At 42.6% G+C, this 23261-nt stretch overlaps 1 annotated feature.

The window, feature by feature from the left end:
• Nucleotides 18672–19389: an enhancer, noted in NCBI's record as "H3K27ac hESC enhancer chr6:18089369-18090086 (GRCh37/hg19 assembly coordinates)". NCBI's record gives its function as "activates a minimal SCP1, AML or CMV promoter by ChIP-STARR-seq in naive H9 embryonic stem cells {active_cell/tissue: H9 hESC(naive)}" and the evidence as "EXISTENCE:reporter gene assay evidence [ECO:0000049][PMID:30033119]".

The raw sequence follows: 23261 nt of genomic DNA on the forward strand, positions 1-23261 counted from the left end.
GTGCCATGCTTGTACAGCCTGCAGAACTGTGAGTCAATTCACCTTTTTCCCATTTGCCCAGAGAATACTTGCTGGCAACACTTGCGGCTGCAGTGTTTACCCTGAGATAACTTTACCGTGAAATATCTCGCTTTTATTATTTCCACATCACTTAGTATATCAACTTTGGAAACAAAAGACATCATTCTCTATATAGCATTCTGTTTTTAGTAGTGGTATTTTCATTTACAAAACATAGTAATTCTCGGTCGCTGAAAATGTCAAATCCTAGAAAACGTAGCATTCCTACATGTGATGTTAACATCGTTCCCGAACAGTTTTTGGCCGAAGATTCACTTGATGAATATGATTTTTCTGAAATAGACAATTCTGATGATTCAGATGTTAGTTCTGTTTAGAAATAACCACAAGAACAGTGTTTAAATTTTATTTTCACATTGAAAATCAGTCAGATTTGCTTCAGCCCCAAAGAGCATGTTTATGTAAAAATTAAATGAGCACTGGCAGCCAGCTGCACTTTTTTTTTCTAAATGGGAAAGGGACAAACCTCTTTTCTTTATAAGTCACCCAGTCTCGGGTATTCCTTAATAGCAATGCAAAAGAGATTTAATAAAATGGCCATTTTCCCTGTGTCTTCACACCATCTTCCTTCTGTGTGTCTGTGTCTTTTTTTTTTTTGAGATGGAGTCTTGCTCTGTCACCCAGGCTGGAGTGCAATGGTGTGATCTTGGCTCATTGCAACCCCTGCCTCCCAGGTTCAAACGATTCTCCTGCTTCAGCCTCCTGAGTAGCTGGGATTACAGGCGCGTGCCTCCATGCCCGGCTAATTTTTGTATTTTTTTTTTTTTTTTTTTTTTTAGTAGAGATGGGGTTTCACCATGTTGATTAGACTGGTCTCGAACTCCTGACCTCATGATCAGCCCGCCTCGGCCTCCCAAAGTGCTGGGATTACGGGTTGAGCCACCGTGCCCAGCCCCATAATATCCTCTTCTTATAAAGACATCAATCTTATTGGATTAGGGTCTGCTCTAATGATCTCATTTTAACTTAATTACATCTTTAAAGATCCTAACTCCATGCACATTCGTAAATACAGTCACATCCTGAGGTACTGGGCATTAGGACTTCAACATATGAACATTCTGGCAACATAATTCAGCCTATAACACTCATCGAATTCTGTCTTGGCATCTGCTTTTCGGATGCCAGGTTAATCTAGGAGTATAACCAGGTAAAGCATTGGTGTGCCAAATGACCAGTGACTCATCTCTTCCCACCCCAGTCTGCTTCTATAAATCCAATTACAAAAGTAATAATGAATAGACAAAACATGGAAAAAACATGTTTCAAATATGAAATAAATCTCCAGTTTTTTGGAGGTAATCCCTAATCCCTTGGCAATTTGTAATAGGGATTATTATAACACAGAAAACTGTAAGTGACAGAAACAAAAAAGACACTTCCTATCAGTGGTTCCTCTCAGTGGGGCAGATGACCCTCAAGTCAGTGGTACTTCAAGTGTGGCAGACACAAGGCAAGCCTCAGATCTGTGCCTTTGAGCCTGACACTGGATCCCATCACCAGCACAGGAACAGTCCTCTACAGCCAAGGTGGCCAATGCAGACTTTAAAAAGGTTGGGTTGGCATGCGAGTAAAAAATAAACTCTAGCAGAGATTTGGTAATTCTGTCATTTGTTGGCTGACATTTTAATATTATTGTCAGTTTCTTAGGCATATTTTGCTTCAATGAGTAGGAAAAATGTTTTAATTAGTGCCCTTTGTTTATAATTTTCGTCTTTCATATCCATGGAAAATTCCAATGTCTTCCGTCTTCATAATTTCTGGGGGTTTGGCAGAGTACCAGACCAGCAACTGTTTCAATAGAGAGGAATCGCCTCTCTCAAAACACATTTTATTGCTTGGGAGATTGCTCTTCATTAACACAACCAGGAAAATACTGATAAGATCCTTCGAGTTTTGGGCTATCCCACTCAGAATAGATATTTGTTTTTCCTGTCACCCATTTTCTTAAGCATTAGTCAATATGGGAGCCTACTGTATGTAAAATTCCTTACTGAACAGGATTGGGTTTGCTTGAGTGATAAAAAATAGAGATAGTCTTTGTACACAGAATGTGGTTTTATTTTATTTATTGAAATCAGAATCTTCTAACTTCACTAGGGTGATCTGTTTGTGTTCATATGTGTGTGTGGCAGAGTATATACTATAACATAAAATTTTTCATCTTATCCATGTTTAAGCGTATAGTTCTGAAGCATTAATTACGTTCACAATGTTGTGCAACCAACAACACCATCAATTTACAAAACTTTTTATCACCCCAAACAGAAACACTGTAACCTTTAAACTTTAAACTCTCTATTCTCCACTTCTCCCAGCTGCTGGTGAGCTCTCATCTATTTTCTATCTCTACACATTTGCCTAGTCTGGATATTTCATATAAAGTGGAATCATACACTATTTGTCCTTCTGTGTCTGGCTTATTTCACTTGCCCTAATGTTTTAAAAGTTCATCTGTATTGTAGCATGTATCAGAACTTCATTTTTCATGGCTGAATAATATTCCTTTGGATGTATATACCACATTTTGTTTATCCATTCATCTGTTGATGGACAGATCAACAGATCTGTTGATTTGAGTTGTTTATACTTTTTGGCTCTTGTGAATAATGCTGCAATGAATATTGGCAGATGAGTATCTGTTTGAGTCCCTGTTTTCAATTCTTTTGGATATACACCTAAAAGTGAAATTGCTAGGGCATATAGTAGTACTATGTTTAGCTTTTTGAGGAACCACCAAACTGTTTTCCACGGCAGCTGCACCACTTAGCATTTTCATCAACAATGTATAAGCGTCCCAATTTCTATGCATCCTCACCAGCACTTGTTATTTTCTGTTTTTGTTTTGTTTTATAGCCATCTAGTAGGTGTGAAGTGGTATCTCACTGTTTTGATTCACATTTCCCTTAATGGCTAGTTTTATTAAGCATCTTTTCACATGCTTGTTAGCCACTTATTTATCTTTGGGAAAATGTCTAGTCAAGTTCTTTGCCCAATTTTCTAATTGAGTGGTTTTTTGTTGTTGAGTTGTAAGAATTCTTTATATAGTCTGGATCCTAGACACCAGATATATGATTAGCAAATAATTTCTTCTATTCTATGTTTTCTTTTCAAGTTTCCAATAATGTCCTTTAAAGTTTTAAATTTTGATGAAGTCTAATTTATCTAGTTTTTCCTAGAGATGTCGCCATATCTAAAAATCCACTGCTGGCCCAGTGCAGTGGCTCATGCCTGTAATCCCAGCACTTTCAGGGGCTGAGGTGGGCAGATTATTTAAGCCCAGGCGTTCAAGACCAGCCTGGGCAGAATGGTGAAACCTTGTCTCTACAAAAAATACAAAAAAATTAGCTAGTGAGGGGGCATGCACCTGTGGTTCCAGCTACTCAGGAGGCTGAAGCAGGAGGATCGCCTGAGCCTGAGTGGTAGAGGCTGCAGAGAGCTGTGATCATGCCACTGTGCTCCAGCCTGGGCAACAAAGAGAGATCTTGTCTCAAAAAAAAAAAAAAAATCTTTGCTGATCCATTGCATAAACCTGAGATTACGAAGATTTACTCTTATGTCTTATTCTAAAAATTTAATATTTTTAGCTCTTATATTTAGGTTGTTCATCCATTTGAGTTAATTTTTGTGTATGGTGTGAAGTAGGAATCTTAACTCCATTCCTTGGCTTATGGATATCCAGTTATCTCAGTACTAGTTTTTGAGAGGAAGATTCTTTCCCCCATTGAATGGTCCTGGCATCTTCGTGAAAAATTAATTGGCCATCAATTTATGGAATTCTTTCTGGAGTCTCAAATTTATTCCACCGGTATACATGCCTTTTATTCTACCAATACCACACTGCTCTGAATACTGTATCTTTGTAGTGACTTTTGAAATCAGCAAGTATGAGTCCTCCAACTGCGTGTTCTTTTTTATTTTTTGAGACAGAGTCTCCGTCTGTCGCCCAGGCTGGAGTGCAGTGGCGTGATCGTGGCTCACTGCAGGCTCCGCCTCCTGGGTTCACGCCATTCTCCTGCCTCAGCCTCTTGAGTAGCTGGGACTACAGGTGCCCTCCACCGTGCCTGGCTAATTTTTTGTATTTTTAGTAGAGACGGGGTTTCACCATGTTAGCCAGGACGGCCTCGATCTCCTGACCTCGTGATCCCCCCACCTTGGCCTCCCAAAGTGCTGGGATTACAGGCATGAGCCACCGTGCCTGGCCCTGTGTGTTCTTTTTCGACATTGTTTTGGCTGTTTGGGGCCCCTTACACTTCCATATGAATTTGAGCATTGGTTTTTGGTTTTTCGATGTCCATAAAAAGATCATTGGCATTTTGATGAGGACTGCATGGAGTCTCAGATTTGAATATTGACATCTTAACAATATCAAGCCTTCTAATCCGTGAACATACATGTCTTTCCATTTATTTAGGTGTTCTTTCATTTCATTTAGTAATGTTTTGTAGTTTTCAGGTACAAGTCTTGTACATCCTTGGTTAAATTTATTCCTAACTATTTTATTCTTTCTGATGCTAATGTAAGTGGAATTATTAAAATCCATCTCTTTAAATGTAACGGTTGATGACTTTTAGTAAATTCATACTGTTGTGCAACCTTCCACACAATCTAGTTTTAGAGCACTTGCATCAGGTTTCCCTTGTGTCTATCTGTGGTCAATATCTATTCTCACCTCCCCAACCCCAGGCAACTTCTGATATGTTCTCTGTCTTTATAGCTTTGCTTTTTCTATACTTGTGTATTAATCCTTTCTCATGCTGCTAATAAAGACATACCTGAGACTGGCTAATTTATAAAGGAAAGAGGTTTAATTGACTCACAGTTCAGCATGGCTGGGGAGGCCTCAGGAAACTTATAATCATGGCGAGAGGGGAAGCACACATGCCCTTCTTCACATGGCAGCAGGAAGGAGAAAAATGAGTACCAAGGGAAGGGGGAAGCCCCCTATAAAACCATCAGATCTCGTGAGTACTTACTCACTATCACGAGAATAGCATGGGGGAAATGGCACTCATGATTCAATTACCTCCCACTGGGTCCCTCCCATGACACGTGGGGATTATGGGAGCTACAGTTCAAGATGAGATTTGGGTGGGGACACAGACAAACCACATCAACCCATCAGATAAGCAGGTCCTTACATTTATATAAAATGCAGTTACACACAACAAGATGAGATTTGGGTGGGGACACAGTCAAACCCTATCAACCCATCAGATAAGCAGGTCCTTACATTTACGTAAAATGCAGTTACAAACAACACACCATCTCCTTTTCATTCCTTTTTTCTCTCTCTTACCCAGAACACAAAACACTCATATATTTTTGTTTGTCTAGATCCTGGCCTGTCCAAGTAACCTCACCTTTTAGATCATCAACTAGTTAACAAATGACAAAATCTTGGTTCACCTTTAGGTCAGAAGATGCCATGAGCCAGGCTAGCCAGAGCAGACTCTGATTGGCTTAGTTCTGGAGGGGTTTAGGTCATAATCCCCCAAAACACAATCCTAATGCCATAATCTCAAAAGTTGAAATCTCAAAAAGATCAAAATCACTAAAGCCTAAGATCCCTAACATATAAAATCCTGAAAAGCACAATCACAGGCTAGTTGCATCATGTTAGGTGGAACTATTGCCTTGTTATTGTCTTTATGTAGAAGAAAATAGATTTCAATGGAATCCCCAAACCATAATGACAGATTTGGAATTTGGGGCAATCAAGTCTTCTAAAAATGAATTTCAATGTGTTACCAATACAATTTGTTTTTTCCATTCAGCCCAATGCATTAGTGGGAAGTTCAGATGAATGGATTGGCCGCAAGATACGGCAATGATGAAAACTTCAGTTTAAAAATTCGTAATTTGCCCACATTGGCATTCCTTCCAGTTGATGACATTCCAGGAGCTTCTAGTTAATTAAAGCCACATTTGCCTGAAAAAGCCAGTGAAGTTACAGACTAGTTTGAAAATAATTATGTGCATGGTAGGGTAAGAAGACTCTTATGCAACACTTAGGATAAGATGGCGTTGCTGTTTGATCAACAGGATTGTTTCCACCAAATTTGTGGTCTGTATATGAGTGCATGCAGAATGGATCTCTGTGTACTCAAAACAACAAAGAAGCATGGCACAGAAGTGACAAAATTTCATAGAGAATGCTCATATCAGTGTATATGGAATAAGAAGAATTTTTAAAAAGAGCAGCACCAAACAGAAAATGAATGTGAACATTGTGTTAGACCATTTTGTGTTGCTACAAATGAATATCTGAGGCTGGGTAATTTATAAAGAAAGGAGGTCTAATTGGCTCATAGTTCTGCAGGCAGTACAGGAGGCGTTGTAACAGTATATGCTTCCATTGAGGGCCACAGGGAGTTTACAATCATGGCAGAGGGCAAAAGGGGAGCTGGTGTATCACACGGTGAGAGAGGGAGCAAGGGTGGAGAAGGTCCAAGATTTTCTCACATGAACTGAGTAAGAACTCACTTACTACCAAGGAGATGGTGCTGAACCATTCTTTTTTTTTTTTTTTTTTTTTTTTTTTTTGAGACAGAGATTCGCTCTGTCACCCAGGCTGGAGTGCAGTGGCACGACCTCGGCTCACTGCAAGCTCTGCTTCCCGGGCTCAAGCCATTCTCGTACCTCAGCCTCCCAAGTAGGTAAGATCACAGGCATGCGCCAGCACACCTGGCTAATTTTTGCATTTTTAGTAGAGGCGGGGTTTCACCATGTTGGCCAGGCTGGTCTCAAACTCCTGGCTTCAAATGATCTGCCCGCCTTGGCCTCCCAAAATGCTGGGATTACAGGTCTGTGCCACAGCACCAGCCAGTAAATAAAACTTTAAAAAATAATTTTAAAATTATTTTTTCCAGAATTATATTTTCAGAATTTTGATCTTACAGGATTTCAACATTTGGGATGATGGCTTTCAGGATTGTGTCTTTCAGGATTATAATCAGCTCCCATTCTGGAGAAAACGCCAATATCTGTGAGTATTCCTGCAAATAGATAAGGCTTGTGAGTGTGTGCTGAGCTTCTCTTGGACAAATCTATTGCAGAGAGAGACTTAGTAGAACTGAGGAACTGTTATGGGGTTTTTTCACTTTGTTGAAAATAAAAAATTAGAGACATTGTTCAGCTACTCTTCAGAATCCATTAGAATCTGCTATGTGTTGTTAGCTTATTAGAATTAAGGCATATTGTGGCCCGGCGTGGTGGCTCACGCCTGTAATCCCAGGACTCTAGGAGGCCGAGGCGGGTGGATCACTTGAGGCCAGGAGTTGGAGATCAGCCTGGCCAAATGATTAAACCCTGTCTCTACTAAAAATACAAAAATTAGCAAGTCATGGTGGCATGCACCTGTAATCCCAGCTACTCGGGAGGTTGAGGTGGGAGAATCGCTTGAACCCAGGCGGGGGAGGTTGCAGTGAGCCGAGATCCAGCCTGGGAGACAGAGTGGGATCCTGTCTGAAAAAAAAAAAAAAAAAAAGAATAAAGGCATATTGTGAGAGAGGATCAAAAAGTTGTGTGAAATGCGAGGTTGCATTATTGCAAGGTGAATAAAATGAGGCTGGTGGAGGATGGGAGCCAATCACAAATTTCCAATATTGCGATTGGAACACAGCTCCACATCCAAACCTAAACCTTCTGAAGGATCGCCCAGGCCCTGTAATAACTACAGTTTTCTACACTCCACCTTCCCCTGGTAGCCTTTTTTTGACAGTCCCTTTGAATTCCCAAGACAACTTATTTGTATTTTTTCTCAACCATTCTTTTAAGGAGGGCCAACCCATGGCTAACAGTGACTCAAAGTGCTTTCATTAGCTCAGATAAAAAGCTCAGTTACTTTAACCTACTTCTTTCTGCCCTCTACAAAGGCAATTCAAGGCTCAGATGTTACTAGAAGTTACTGGGCATTTTCCTATACAAAAGAATAAGAACACCAGGTTTCTTAGAATACACCAAAAACCTCTTCTCCTGGGGTTTTTTATACTGTTTAAAGGGTGGGAAATGGGGTCATATTTTCAGCTGTGGTGAGGGACAGAGAGCCTGGAAATTTGGCTTGAAATTCATGGGGAAAATACTGAGCCCAAATGTATTTGAGTTATTGTTGTATTGTTGTTAGCTCTGTAAGACACAGTAAATATTTACTGAGGGCCTACTTTGTGCCAGGCACTGTTCTAGGTGCTGGAATACCTAGATTTTTGTGTTCTAGCAGTGAACAAAACACAAAAATCCCCAGTCTTCTTTCATCCTAGTGGGAGAAGACACACAATGAAGAAAATATATAAATGAGATATAAGTGATATATGGTGAGGAGTGTTATGGAGAAAACAGAAACAGGAAGGAGGATGGGAAGTTCTGAGTGAGGGAGGATGAGCAATGGCTGTGATTTTAAACACAACGGTCATGGAAGGCTTCACTTAGAAGGTGCAAAGTGAGGAACCAATGGAAAGAGATGATGGAGCAAGTCATGCCAGCATCTGGGGTAATGAGCAGGCTGGGTAGAAGGAACTGAAAGGGCAAAGGCCCTGAGCTGGGAGCAGGGCTGGCGTGATAACCACAGAGGGCCAGGGAGGCTGGAGGGTAGAGGAAGAGAGAAGTGGGAGATGAGGCATAGGGACGTAGAAACCATTATGATGACCTTCACTATTTTCCAGAGGGAGATGTAAGCCATTGGAGGCTTTGAATAGAGGAGGGACATAAATTTAGTCTTAACTTTTTCTCCAGCTGTTCAGTTGATTGCATGAGATAAAATACTTAGCACCATGCTGGACACATAATGTATCAGTGAATGTTTGTGTATTACAAATGCATTCATTCAGTTGAAATGCAATTCAAATGTATCCTTGAATTTAAATTTGGAATATTTCCCCACATAACTCTGTAGCCCTGGGACGCCATCTTCTTTAATGCCTGGACAAGTTGAGAACATTCAGCCATCCATTCATTTACTAAATATTTATTATTGCGTATCTAAAATGTGCCAAGTAGTGTTTTAAGCACTGGGGACAAAGTGGTGAGTGAATAGGCTAGAAAAGATTCATACCTGAAGGAGGTCTTCTTTTTTTTTTTTTTTGAGATGGAGTCTCACTCTGTCGCCCAGGCTGGAGTGCAATGGCACAGTCTTGGCTCACTGCAACCTCTGCCTCCCAGGTTCAAGCGATTCTCATGCCTCAGCCTCCTGAGTAGCTGGGATTACAGGCATGCACCACCACATCCAGCAAATTTTTGTATTTTTAGTAGAGACTGTGTTTCACCATGTTGGCCAGGCTGGTCTCGAACTCCTGATCTCAGGTGATCCGCCCACCTCTGCCTCCCAGAGTGCTGGGATTACAGGCGTGAGCCACCATGCCTGGCCTAAGGAGGCTTTCATTCGAGTGGTGGGAGGACAGGCAATGAACAGTAAATATAAACACACACACATGTACACACACACAGATATATATATATAAAATGTCAGGTTGTGATATGTGCTAAGAAGATAAAGAAGGTCAGGGGAAACTGAGAGGCAGAGGGAAAGTCTGTTTTAAATGGAATGATAGTGATGTACTTCTTTATCTCAATAGTATTTGTTGAATTGTCTGTACGGGCAAAGCACTGTCCTGGGTTCTAAAGCATCCTCTGTATATTTCCAGCCCACAAGAGACTTAGAATCTGTGGGAGGCAGAATTCTAAGGTGATCCCTAAGATTCCTGTCCCTTGGTGTACCTGCCCTGCATAATCCCTAAGACTTTGCATATGAAGCAATAATCACTTCTGTGATGAGGCGATGTTCCACCGCACAGCTGGCTCTAAGAAAGGAGACTCCCTGGGCCAGGCATGGTGGCTCACGCCTGTAATCCTAGCACTTTGGGAGGCCGAGGTGGGTGGATCATGAGGTCAGGAATTGGAGACAAGCCTGGCCAACATGGTGAAATCGCATCTCCACTAAAAATACAAAAATTAGCCGGGCGTTGTGGCATGCACCTGTAATCCCAGCTATTCAGAAGGCTGAGACAGGAGAATCACTTGAACCCGAGAGGTGGAGGTTGCTGTGAGCTGAAATCACACCACTGCACTTCAGCCTGGGCGACAGAGTAAGAAAAAAAAAAAAAAAGAAAGAAAGAAAGAAAGAAAGGAGACAACCTGGGTGAGCCCGACCTAATCAGGTGAGCCCGTATAAGAGATGAGCCTTGTCCTAAGGAAGACATTTGAAGCAGGACAGGAATGTGATGCCAGGGAGTTTCTACACTGCTGGCTCTGAAGATGGCTGTCTCCACAGGATAAGGACCTGCAAACAGCCTCTAGGAGCTGACAGCAACCCTAATTAACAGCCACCAAGACAGGGACCTCAGTCCTTCCACCACAAGGAACTGAATTCTGCCAGCAACCTGCATGACTTTAGAAGTGGATTCTTCCTTAGTCAAGTCTCCAGACCAGAATGCAGCTCAGCTCAACTCAAGCATGTTGTACTTGGACTTTGGACCTACAGAACCATGAGATAATGAATGAATGAATGAATGAATGAATGAATGTTACTTTCAGCTGATAAATTTACGGTAATCTATTATGCGGCAATAGAAAACCAATATAGATTCTAATAAAAAGATATTTTAAAAATCAGCATCTGTAATACAAAGGGCACTCACAACGAGTGGGATGATCTTTGCTTTTTGAATGACAAATGGTGAATGATGAGGTGGCTTGTAGGCAGACACAAACAAAATCTAGTTTAAAAGGAGCACATCTGATTTCTCTACTTATAACTTGATTATCTTGTCGTTACCTTACTTAAACTCTCCATGGGTGCCCACTGCCTATGGGAGTTGACACTTTTGAGTTTAACATTCATTCCAGCTCTTCCGTCATCTCCAGACCCTACTATTCCAAACTCATCTCTTATTGACTTTCTGACTCATTAAATGTTGACCTTAGCAATCCGCTGTCCTTTACATGGTCCAGAATACCTCCTTCTTCATCATGTTACGCCAGTCTTTCAGCCCAGAATAGAGCAGAATCATCACAGACAAGACGAGCCATGGAATGGCAAACATTTTAATGCTGGCGCCTATCCACCGAGTCTCTAGAGATGCTGGAATTATGATAAATTTCAGAATGCCGCAATCCCAGCAGGCCACCTCCTTGCCAAAAGTATTTAATGGGTTCCTATTTTCATATTTCAAATCAGATCGTCAGCCAGGTAATCAAAATCTTCCAAGATATGACCCCACAAAACACCCTTCCAAAACTATTTCCTATTACATTGCCCCATAGCCCATATCTTTTATTTACATGGCACTGACTTTGCCATCTGTTTTTTGCTCAGGCTGGTCACTGTTTCTGGAATGTCCCTCCCTTTTTTACTGATTAGTCAAATTCTGAGGCCCAAAGAGGTTCAGTAACTTGCTCAAAGTCACAGAATTTGGGTGAATATCACTTTTTCCAGTCTTGAGCAAGTAACTGGATCTCTTTGAACCTCAGTTTTGTCACTTGTAAAATGGGGCATATGAAAATATCTACCTTGCGGTATTTCCCACCATGAAATAATTTACTTGGTGATAGAAATGGACTTTCTCATACTTGTATTTCCTTTGGCTCTTAACGTGGTGTCTCACAAATCATATAGCTCAAAAAATGCCAATGGAATGAAATTCCCTGAATATTTTTGAATCATGCTGTTAAGTTCCTTAGTCTTTTCAATTTTTTCTTTGAGACGGGAGTCTCGTTCTGTCTCCCAGGCTGGAGTGCAGTGGCACGATCTCGGCTCACTGCAACCTCCGCCTCCCAGGTTCAAGTGATTCTCCTGCCTCAGCCTCCCCAGTAGCTGGGATTACAGGCACCCGCCACCATGCCTGGCTAATTTTTGTATTTTTAGTAGAGACAGGGTTTCGACATGTTGGCCAGGCTGGTCTCAAACTCACTACTGACCTCAGGTGATCCACCCGCCTTGGCCTCCCAAAGTGCTGGGATTACAGGCGTGAGACACCATGCCCTACCAGTCTTTTCAATTTTTAAACTTCATTGCTTTTCAAGTCACAGTGAAACTATTTGGATTCCTTTCCTTCTTAAAATGAATACTTATTCCATGGATGTAGGCATTTTAATGCCTTTTAATTTTTCCTTTTTTTTTTGTTTTGGAGATAGAGTCTCGCCGTGTTGCCCAGGCTGGATTGCACTGGCGTGATCTTGGCTCACTGCAGCCTCCACCTCCCGGGTTCAAGCGACTCTTGTGCCTCAGCCTCCTGAGTAGCTGGGACTACAGATGTGGACCACCACACCAGCTAAAGTTTTTTGTATTTTTAGTAGAGACAGGGTTTCACCATGTTAGCCAGGCTGGTCTCGAACTCCTGACCTCAAGTGATCCGCCTGCCCCAGCCTCCCAAAGTGCTGGGATTACAGGCGTGAGCCACCATGCCTGGCCTTTTTCCTTCTTTTTCTCCAGGCATGTGTTACTTTCTTAGAGGCCTAGGAGCATTTTTGTCAGGAACTATTGAAATAATTTCCACGTGGGAGCCTTCTGGTTTCAAAGAAGGAGAGTGTTTACACAGAAGCTGTCTGGTTTCAGGAAAAAAGCCAAGTGGTGTTTTTTAATATTAGGGGAAATTTGCCTCTCCTTGCTTTTTTTTAAAAAGAAAGAAACCAAAAGCTTGTTTAAACAGGTTCATAGAGGATTGTTTCTGATAAGCATTTATTTTATGTGGTAAACTGATTTTGTTGTAGGGGATGGTTTAAACAGAGACAAATAGTGTGTCTCTAGCTGGTGGGTGGCTCTGTAATGAACACGCTCAAATGCTTAGAATGAATGGAGCTCAGGCATACTGGGAAATGCACGAGAGTTGGGTTTATGTTTTGATTTTGTTTTTATAGGTTTTATGATTTTGGGAAACTCCAAACCTGTTGTCTTCTAAAGTAGAAATAAGGCTGGGTGCAGTGGCTCACATCTATAACCGCAGCACTTTGGAATGCTGAGGCGGGCAGATCACTTGAGTGCAGGAGTTCAAGACCAGCCTGGTTAATGTGGCGAACCCCATCTCCACCAAAAATACAAAAAAAATTTAGCCAGATGGGGGTAATGTGCACCTGTGGACCCAGCTACTCAAGAGGCTGAAATGGGAGGATTGCTTAAGCCTGGGAGGCGGAGAGTCCAGTGAACCAAGATTGTGCCACTGCACTCCAGCCTGAGTGACAGAGTGAGACCCTGTCTCAAAAAAAAAAAAAAAAAAAAAAGTAGCCACCTATCCCAAGTATATCATAGACTTATAAAGATCAGGGGAGAAAAATAAATTTAGAATCATTTTGAAGAACGAAATGATATAAAATATGAAGAAGTACTATAAAGCCTAAATTTGCCAAATTCTAATGCCCACAAATTCTGTTTGAAAATAGGTAGGATACAAATAATACATAAATACTGCCTGTACATAGCTTAAGAAAGACTAGTATACAATTATTTAACAAAAGGAGATAATCTATAGTGTTGGTTTATAATAAAATATGGAATAATAAGATATATAAGGTACCAAAATTCTCAGTTCATCTTATAGGCAAGTATTTTGCTGATTTTTTTTTTTTTTTTTTTTTGAGATGGGGTCTTGCTCTGTCACCCAGGCTGGAGTGCAGTGGCATGATCTCAGATCACTGCAACTTCTGTCTGGGTTCAAGCAATTCTCCCGCCTCAGTCTCCCTAGTAGTTTGGATTACAGGCATGCACCACCACGCCCTGCTAATTTTTGTATTTTTAGTAGAAACAGGATTTCTCCATGTTGGCCAGGCTAGTCTAGAACTCCTGACCTCAGGTGATCTGCCTGCCTCGGCCTCCCAAAGTGCTGGGATTACAGGTGTGAGCCACTGCACCTGGCTTTGCTGAATTTTTTTTTTTTTGACAGATGGCAATAGGTCATAGTCATAAAGATATTTTCATTGAAGTTTGACAAATTGTGTATCCTATATTACTAAAGCTTTTGAAGGAGCTCATAATTGTAATTATAGTTTGCTCAGCTCACCTGGGTTTACGTAGAATACAGTTGCCATATTTTATTCTTTTTTTTTTTTTTTTTTTGGAGTCAGGGTCTCTCTCTGTCCCCTAGGCTGGAGTGCAGTGGCACAATCTTGGCTCACTGAAACCTCTGTCTCCTGGTTTCAAGCGATTCTCATGCCTCAGTCTCCTAAGTATCTGGGATTACAGATGCCTGCCACCACACCTGGCTAATTTTTGTATTGTTAGTAGAGATAGGGTTTTACCATGTTGGCAAGGCTGGTCTCGAACTCCTGACCTCAGGTGATCCACCTGCCTCAGCCTCCCAAAGTGCAGGGATTACAGGCGTGAGCCACCAGGCCTGGCTTATTCTTTAATAAAGTAGTGCTATGTGAGTTTTCAACTTGGAAGATTATATGTAATCTTGGACTAGTTGGAATTTTTCTCTAAAGTCAGTAGTAGATAAGATAAGTAGATAAGACTGGAAGATTCTGAAACAATAATATTCGTTTCTTCCAATCTTATTAACTAACCGTTATGAAGTTGTGGTAAGAAGCCTCTAAGATGCCCCCCAATGCCCTCCACCTCCTCGTTCATATCCTGGTATAATTCCCTCCTCTTGTGTGTGGGCTGGGCTTATTGACTCACCTCTAAGGAATAAAATACAGCAGAAGTGATAGGATGTCACTGTGCGATTATGTTATAAAAAGACTATGGCTTCCTTCTTTGCCACACTCTCTCTTGACCTCTCTCAGATTTCTAATCCTGAAGGAAGCTGGGTGCCATGTTGTGAGGTCTCTGTATGGAGAGGCCCATCTGGTGGGAGATTCTGGTCAGCTAATAAACACACGAGGGAGCCTGGAAGCAGCCATCCTCACTACCACCATCCCATCCCCGCTCCAGTTGAGACTTCAGATGAGACCCCATGATGATCTGATAGCTTAACTGCAACCTCATGAGAGATCTTAAGCCAGAGGCACTCAACTAAGCTGCTCCTGAATTCCTAATCCACAGAAATTATGAAGTAATACACGTTTGTTGTTTTAAGCCACTAGGTTTTGGGGTAATATTTTATACAGCAATAGATAACTCATACTAAAGCCCTGTTTACGTTTCATACATCAATATGTAAAGATACATGTTTAAAAAGAAATGTTATCATCACTAACAACAACAAAGGTTTACTAATATCAAGTAGTTCAGGACAATCAAATGAAAAGGGAGAAAATTAAAGACATTTTACTTTTTATTTTTTAGGAGACAGAGTTTCACTCTTGTCACCCAGGATGGAGTGCAATGGCAAGATCTTGGCTCACTGCAACCTCTGCCTCCCGGGTTCACGTGATTCACTTGCCTCAGCCTCCCGAGTAGATGGGACCATAGGTGTGCACCACCATGCCGGGCTAATTTTCTTTTTTTTATTAGAAACAGGGTTTCACCATGTTGCCCAGGTTGGTCTTGAACTCCAGACCGCAGGTGATCCACCCGCCTCGGCCTCCCAAAGTGCTGGGATTATAGGTTTGAGCCACTGTGCCAGCCTTAAAGACATTTTAAATTGAGAAATATGAGATCTCTGAGATTATAACTTTAGGAACTTCCATTAAAATTAGGGATGCTGTTGTCTATATCGTATCTGGCATATTGCCAAATTGTTATGCCTATATCCAACTGCAGCAATATTGCCAGCTTTCCAACTTCAGATCAAAACTTTCAGAGAAAGAAAGCTGTAAATAACAGGATATTAAAATGAAATTCTCTATGGCTTGATTTCAAGCAAGCTCCCTAAAGCTGAGAACAATGCAGTAGTACCAAGTATCTCTCAGATGATACAGGCAGATGCTGGTCTAGCCATGCAGGGCACGTTAAGAGGAAAAAAAAAAAGACCGGTATGGTGACTCATGGCTGTAATACCAGCACTTTAAGAGGCTGAGGTGGGAGGATAGCATGAGCTCAGGAGTTCAAGTCCAGCCTGGGCAACATAGTGAAACACCATCTTTACAAATAATAAAACAATTAACTAGGCATGATGGTGCGTGCTGTGGTTCCAGCTACTTGGGAGGCTGAGGTAGGAGAATGACTTAAGCCCAGTGTTGGAGGCAAGGGTCAGGGGGTTGAGGCTGCAGTGAGCCAAGATCATACCACTGCACTCCAGCAGACAAAGCAACAGAGCAAGACCTAGCATCAAAAAAATTTTTTTATTAAAAAAAATTGGCTGGGCGCAGTGGTTCACACCTGTAATCCCAACCCTTTGAGAGCCCAAAGTGGGTGGATCCCTTGAGCCCAGGAGTTCGAGACCAGCCTGGAAAACATGGTGAGACCCTGTCTCTACAAAAAATAAACAAAAATTAGCTGAGTGTGGTGGCATGCGCCTGTGGTCCCAGCTACATGGGAGACTGAGGCAGGAGGATTACCTGAGTCTAGGAGGTTGAGGCTGCAGTGAGCCAATATCACACCACTGCACTCCAGCCTGAGTGAAAGAGCGAGACCCTATCTCAAAATGAAAAAAGAAAGAAAGAGAGAGAGAGTGAGAGAGAATCAGAAACCAGTCATGCCTACATTAGCCTATCACAGACACCTACTTTTTCAAGATGGAATTTTGATAATCAGTAGTAGAGGGAGGATCTTTGTGAGAATTTTCAGTGTGCTGGGTATCCCACTCCCACAGGTGGGAAAAGGATGCACTTCAAAGGAAGTTTCTAGAGAACCACTTGTGGGGACTGGTGTCCCACTCTTGCCAAGTGAGAGGTGGCTGGGACTGCTTCTGCCTCGCAGTGAAGACAGAATGCCTCAAAGGCCCGTTGCATTTCCACTGCATTTTACTAGGACCTGGATATGAAGGCAGCTGGCCTGGAATTTGCTTAAACATGACTTTTCCCAAGACACCTGCCTCGAGGGACAGTGCCGCCCAGGCAGACGGGTGGACACAGGAAGCCAAGGGGTCAAGAGAAATCAGGAAAGGCATAATTTCTCCATCAAAGAGTAAGTGGGCAACTCTCTGGAAAGCCTGAGAAAGCTCACCAAGAGAGCAGGCATCTGCCATCCGGAGGGTACAAGCAGCAGGACCCCAGCCATCCAGCTGAGTCAAGCTGTGCCCTTTCCCTGAATCCCCTCTTCCCAGGACCCAACCCTGCAGGGGTTACAAACAGCAGCTATAAAGTGGGAAGCAAGAGGATTGGGAAAAGAGAAAAGAAACTGATGATACTCTCAATTCTGCCTGCCAGTGTGGCCAGGTCCAAAGTGGAGAAGGGAAGAAATCTTAATTGGATAAAGATTTGGAGTTAATTGGAGTTCTGATTTTTATCCTGGACTGGATTGGAATTATATGATTATGAAACAGACTTTATTTGTTAATACCCAAACAAGGGGCTTTTCATTTATTTTCCAGGGATGACTGGAAAAGCCATGGAATGTGCTCATGATCCTATCCTGGGGCAAGGAAGAATTAGACCATGGAGTGATTTGAAGAGGCCATGGAAGAAAAAAAATAAAGTTATTTTATGCTTATAAGCCCAGCTAAGTCCAGCTCATTCAATGAAATGATTGTAAGCATTTATGGAAAGAAGAAAGGGAGAGGTCCTCCTGCCAGGAACCCGCCTCTAGCCACAGAGGATAGCGATCACTAAAGATAAGGGTTTTCCCAGTGAAGAGCTTTGGAAATGTTTCCCTTGACTAGAAATGATACTGACCCCAAGGTTCAGGCCCACCAGAGAACAGTGGGAACAATAGTTTATCTCCTTGAGTAATGAGAAGGATTCCAGTTTTCAGGTGAGCTGGGCCTCTTTCCAGGTTGTCCAGAGCCTTTTAAGTCTAAAGCCCACATCAGTGTTTTCAAAAGTGTTTCCACAAAGCATGACACCCACAGATTATGAATAGGCATTACCAAGGAAAACAGGGTTCCATGGTTTAAAAGTTTGAACAATGTGGGCTGGGAGTGATGGTTCATGCCTGTAATCCTAGCACTTTAGGAAGGCAACATGGGAGGATCAGTTGAGCTAAGGAGTTCAAGACCAGCCTGGGCAACATAGTTAGACCTTGTCTCTTTAAAAGAAAAAAAAAATTAAGTTTGAAAAATGCTGTTAAATAAAACTAAACAGTTGTCTTTCCTGCAGGACTTATCAGAGCCTCAGCATGCTAAGGTATATTGGTCATGCTTCTATAATAATTGTTCATTTCCTGCAGCTTGTTTTGCTACAGGACACTTTAGTTTGTTCCTAGGAATGCTCTGGAGTGGTTGGAAGTGCACTTCACTCCCCGTGCAATGCCCTCCTCCTGCTTCTGTCAGCATCAGTGACTACAGCCTTTAGTGTTCTCAGGTGTATTTCTGAAACCATTCCCCGTGATCTCTAACTCCAGGGAAGGTTGTCGAGTTATTTGAGTGCTCCTCTTGACTGCCAATTCTACTCAGCTTCAGATAAAGAAGAAAACCCTCTTTGCCTTCTCCTCTGGAGAGGGTATTGGAAATTTACTATACATTGAAAATTTCTCCAAGGTATGTCACTTCCCCCAGCCTCTTCTACCATAACTCTTTTGTACCCGGGGGGTGGACTAATACCAGTTTTTAGATCTCTCTGTGTACCCTGCAGTGGTGGCTGTAGCAGGTGATTTTGGTGCCCTGCCCTGTGGTCCTCATGGCTGTTCACCCTTCTGACTCTGGGATTCCAGTGTTTGTTCTATGCAGTAAATCAATTGTTGTGATAAATGAATCCCATTTTATTCACACTCGACCTTTGTTATGTAATGTATGTTTAATGAAAATGAGTGTGGGTAGTTATAAAAATAATAATTACTATTTATTGAGTGATTAATATGTGCCAGTCATCTGCCACAAGCATTCTCTCAGTAATTAAAAATAGGTATTAATGCTTCCACACTACAGACAAGGAAAGTGAGGCTTAGGAGACTTAAATAACTCACGAGAAGGCACACACTGAGTGGATGTCTAGATCCAGCTGCCTATTCTCATATGCACTGTTCCAGTCTCACCAGAGCATCACAGTGTATCAGACTCTCATTGTCTGAGGTATACCCAAAGTTCTTTGTCCCACTGAGAGGTGAAGCCAGCTAGATTTCCTGGGTCGAGTGGGGACTTGGAGAACTTTTCTGTCTAGCTAAAGGATTGTAAATGCACCAATCAGCACTCTGTAAAAACACACCAATCAGTGCTCTGTGTCTAGCTAAAGGATTGTAAACGCACCAATCAGCACTCTGTAAAAACACACCAGTCAGTGCTCTGTGTGTAGCTAAAGGATTGTAAACGCACCAATCAGCACTCTGTAAAATGGACCAGTCTGCACTCTGTAAAATGGACCAATCAGCACTCTGTAAAATGGACCAATAAGCAGGACATGGGTGGGACCAAATAAGGGACTAAAAGCTGGCCACTCCAGCCAGCCACGGCAACCTACTCGGGTACCCTTCTATGCTGTGGAAGCTTTGTTTTTCTGCTCTTCACAATAAATCTTGCTGCTGCTCACTCTTTGGGTCTGCACTACCTTTAAGAGCTGTTAACACTTGCCGCGAAGGTCCACGGCTTCATTCTTGAAGTCAGCGAGACCACCAACCCACTGGAAGGAAGAAACTCTGGACACACCATCTTTAAGAGCTGTAACACTCTCTGCGAAGGTCCACGGCTTCATTCTTGAAGCTGGTGAGACCAAGAACCCACTGCAAGGAATAAATTCCGGATACACCACGACCAAGAAAATTAAGGAGCGCAGACACCAAGGGTGAAGTTGGAGCATGAGTTTAATGAGCAAAAGAAGAAAACTCTCTGCCATGGAGAGGGGACCTGAAAGAGGGTTGGTGTTTTTACAGTTGAATGTTAAAGCTTTTATAAGAAACTGATGAGGGCTGGGTGTCTCATTTGCATAAGGCATGAATTTCTGGTAGCTCCAGCCAGTCCTCCTAATGTACACATGGGCCCTTAGCTTGAGTTACTCCATATTGTTTTGTTCCCCTTACTGCATATGTGTCAGGGGACAGAATTTTGCAGGGTGGGCATGTCTAGGCAAGTCACCTGTGTAGACTTTCTTATCTTAGAGACTGTGGGCATGTCTTAGGCAAGCCCTGCCCCCACCCCTCTCCCCCAGGGCAAGTTCTCTTATCTGTGCCTGCAGCTTGATTTTTCAGGCTGTTCTTTTCTTTGAAAGAATTCAACCGAGGACCCACCCTAACTGCCTGCCTGACTGATTTCCTTCTTTCTTGTCTTTCAGCACTAGGTTGTACTACTTGCTTGTAGAGATCATTTCAATGTCTGAGATGTTACTTAAAAGCCTTATTATAATCATCTTCCCACAGCCTGATTTCTTAGGACTCCAGTCTAATTTCTATTGGGCCTTCCTTAAGCTTCTAACTAATTTTAGAATTCATACACTGGTCAGAAAAAGTACAAACAGTGACAGCCAAAAGACATTTGGGGAAATAATTTATTTAGAAAAAACTGCTGAAAAATAGCCTGCTGATTTGGCCAAATGGAAGTGGTCAATGGGCTCTCTGTGGTAGACGCAGCTTTTTTCTTTTGGTCTGAACGTTATGTGATTTCCTCCCTCCTTGCCATTGCTCACACTGTCTCCTCTGCCAGATCCTTCATCTGTTCACTCCTATTCACCCTTTTAAGCCTCTGAGAATTTCCTTGAGGAAGCCTTCCCTGCCCTCTCCCACTATCCAGTCCTGGGTTGGATTACTACGGTTACGCATTACTCCATAGTTCACCCCAGAAGTGTCGTGCATGTATCTATCACTATTGGAACGGGCTGTCTAGTGATCTGCTTCCCTCACTGGTTTGTAAGCTTCTTGTGATGCCTTATCCATCTTGAACCCTTGCACATAGTTACAGCTTACTAACCCTTGCAGAATGACTGGTTCACTGCCTGGTAGAATAAAGGATCTCCTTTTCCAAGAACCTTGACCACCTGAGCCTCTCCTAGGTGAAGGATGTAAAGGAAGAATTGGCTGCACAAAGAGCTCAGAAAGTAGAACTCTTCCTGGTGGATGAAAATAACAGCTGGTCAGAGCCCAAGTGTCATCTGAAAGGGAACATTGAAAATCAGACCACACCCCTGGACTAGGCTAGTTCTTCCTTATTTGAAGGTGTGTTGCTCTTTTGTCAGTTGTCACACCCCTCGAGAAGGTGTTGTTATTTGCTAATAGTTTGAATGATGCAAGAAGTAGGTGCCCTGAGAGTCTCTGGGCCTGTTATGAAGAAATGGTTTTCATTATAGATCACTTGGTACAATGGGCATAAATGAATACAAGGCCTGAAGATAATACTGTATGAGACAGCCACTTGGCTCATTTACTTCCCTCATTTACTTCCATACTTTTTTAGCTCAAGGGCATTCACTTGCAGTTCACCTCTGGCGACCTTCCTCTAAAGACTAGTTCTCAAGCCTCATCAGTTTAAGAATCACCTAGGATCCTTGTTAAAGTGCAGCTACCTGACCCTGTTCCCAGAGATTCTGGTGCAGTGGGTCTGGGTATAGCCCAGGGGGTTTCCTTTTTACTGTCCCAGGTAATTCTTTTTTTTTTTTTTTTTTGAGGTGGAGTCTCACTGTGTCACCCAGGCTGGAGTGCAATGGCGTGATCTTGGCTCACTGCAACCTCTGCATCCCAGGCTCAAGCAATCCTCCTGCCTCAGCCTCTCGAGTAGCTGGGACTACAGGTGAGTGCCACCACACTTGGCTAATTTTTGTATTTTTAGTACAGACAGGGTTTCACCATGTTGGCCAGGCTGATCTCGAACTCCTGACCTCAAGTGATCCACCTGCCTCAGCCTGCCAAAGTACTGGGATTATAGGTGACAGCCACTGCCCTCAACCCTGTTCCAGGTAATTCTGAGTCAAGTGAGCTGTTGTCCACATTTCTGGAAACATGACTTTAAAATTTCAAAGTCTTTCTTCAGGTTGGTATGAACACTATTTTCCTTTCATTAGTGATAGCCCAAGGAAAAGCCCTTTTTAAGTTAGAAGATTTGATCGTATAGTGTGTCTGGGACGTGGTGAGAAAAAAACTCAGTAAACTGAGAAAGTAGAGATGGTGGTAGAGATGGTGGTGGAGATGGTGGTAGAGATGGTGGTGGAGGATGGGGAATGTTGGCATTTTTCACTGGCCTTCAGAGCACCATACCCCCTGGGAAGTGAAGTACAGGGAGAAATGGAGAAATGGAGGAATGGAGGAGATGGCCTATATTGGAAGTGGGGCTGCAGAATGGGGGACTGATGGGGCTGGAAAGCTTCCAGCTTATAGTAAGTCAGCACTTGCAAGTACAGCTTTATTATCTTACTTTAAGAACCGTAGATATCCTCTATGTCAGAACCATTCAAATTTAGCATCAATCTTAATACGTTTCCCTAAGCCACATATAAGTGATGTTGCTATTATCAGTAGTTTTAAATTGCCCAGTCCCAGTGGCTTTAATTAGAATGGGAAATTGAGAGGCGAGTAGACATCTGGCCAACCTGACTCTTGCAAAAGCCGCACTGAGGCCTGCAGTGGATGGGACCTCATGCTGTCTCACCTTTCCCGACTCTCAGCAGGGCATTTTGCTAAAGAACACCTGGGAGGGGCTCTCAAAAAGGTGGTAACCAACTAGGCGTGGGCTATTTCTGGAATGTCCCTCCTAATTCTTTTTTTTTTTTGAAATGGAGTCTTGCTCTGTCATCCAGGCTGGAGCGCAGTGGTGCGATGTAATCTCCACCTCCCGGGTTCAAGCGATTCTCCTGTCTCAGCCTCCCGAGTAGGGGATTACAGGTGCACACCACCACGCCTGGCTAATTTTTGTATTTTTAGTAGAGATGGGGTTTCACCATGTTGGCCAGGCTGGTCTCTAACACTTGACCTCAGGTGATCCACTTGCCTCGGCCTCCCAAAGTGCTGGAATTACAGGCATGAGCCACCATGCCCAGCCTTCCCTCCCAATTCTTATTTTCCACCCTCGTCCCTCTTAATTATCATTGGAATTCATAATTATTGCTCTCTAAAGAATACAATCTGCTGTTTTCAGAGTGCTCCTGCCCCGTGCAGCTTCCCCATTTTTGCCCTGATGCCAGCTAGCCACTAGTATAGAAGGCAAGTGGAGCAGATTCTCAGCTCTGCATCTGTTCAACAAACATTATCTTTAAAATCATAGTAAAATCTACATAGCAAAATGTACCACCTTAATCTTTTTTTTTTTTGAGATGGAATCTTGCTCTGTCTCCCAGGCTGGAGGGCAGTGGCGCGATCT

This window comes from Homo sapiens, chromosome 6, assembly GCF_000001405.40.
Source record: "Homo sapiens chromosome 6, GRCh38.p14 Primary Assembly".
NCBI lineage: Eukaryota > Metazoa > Chordata > Mammalia > Primates > Hominidae > Homo > Homo sapiens.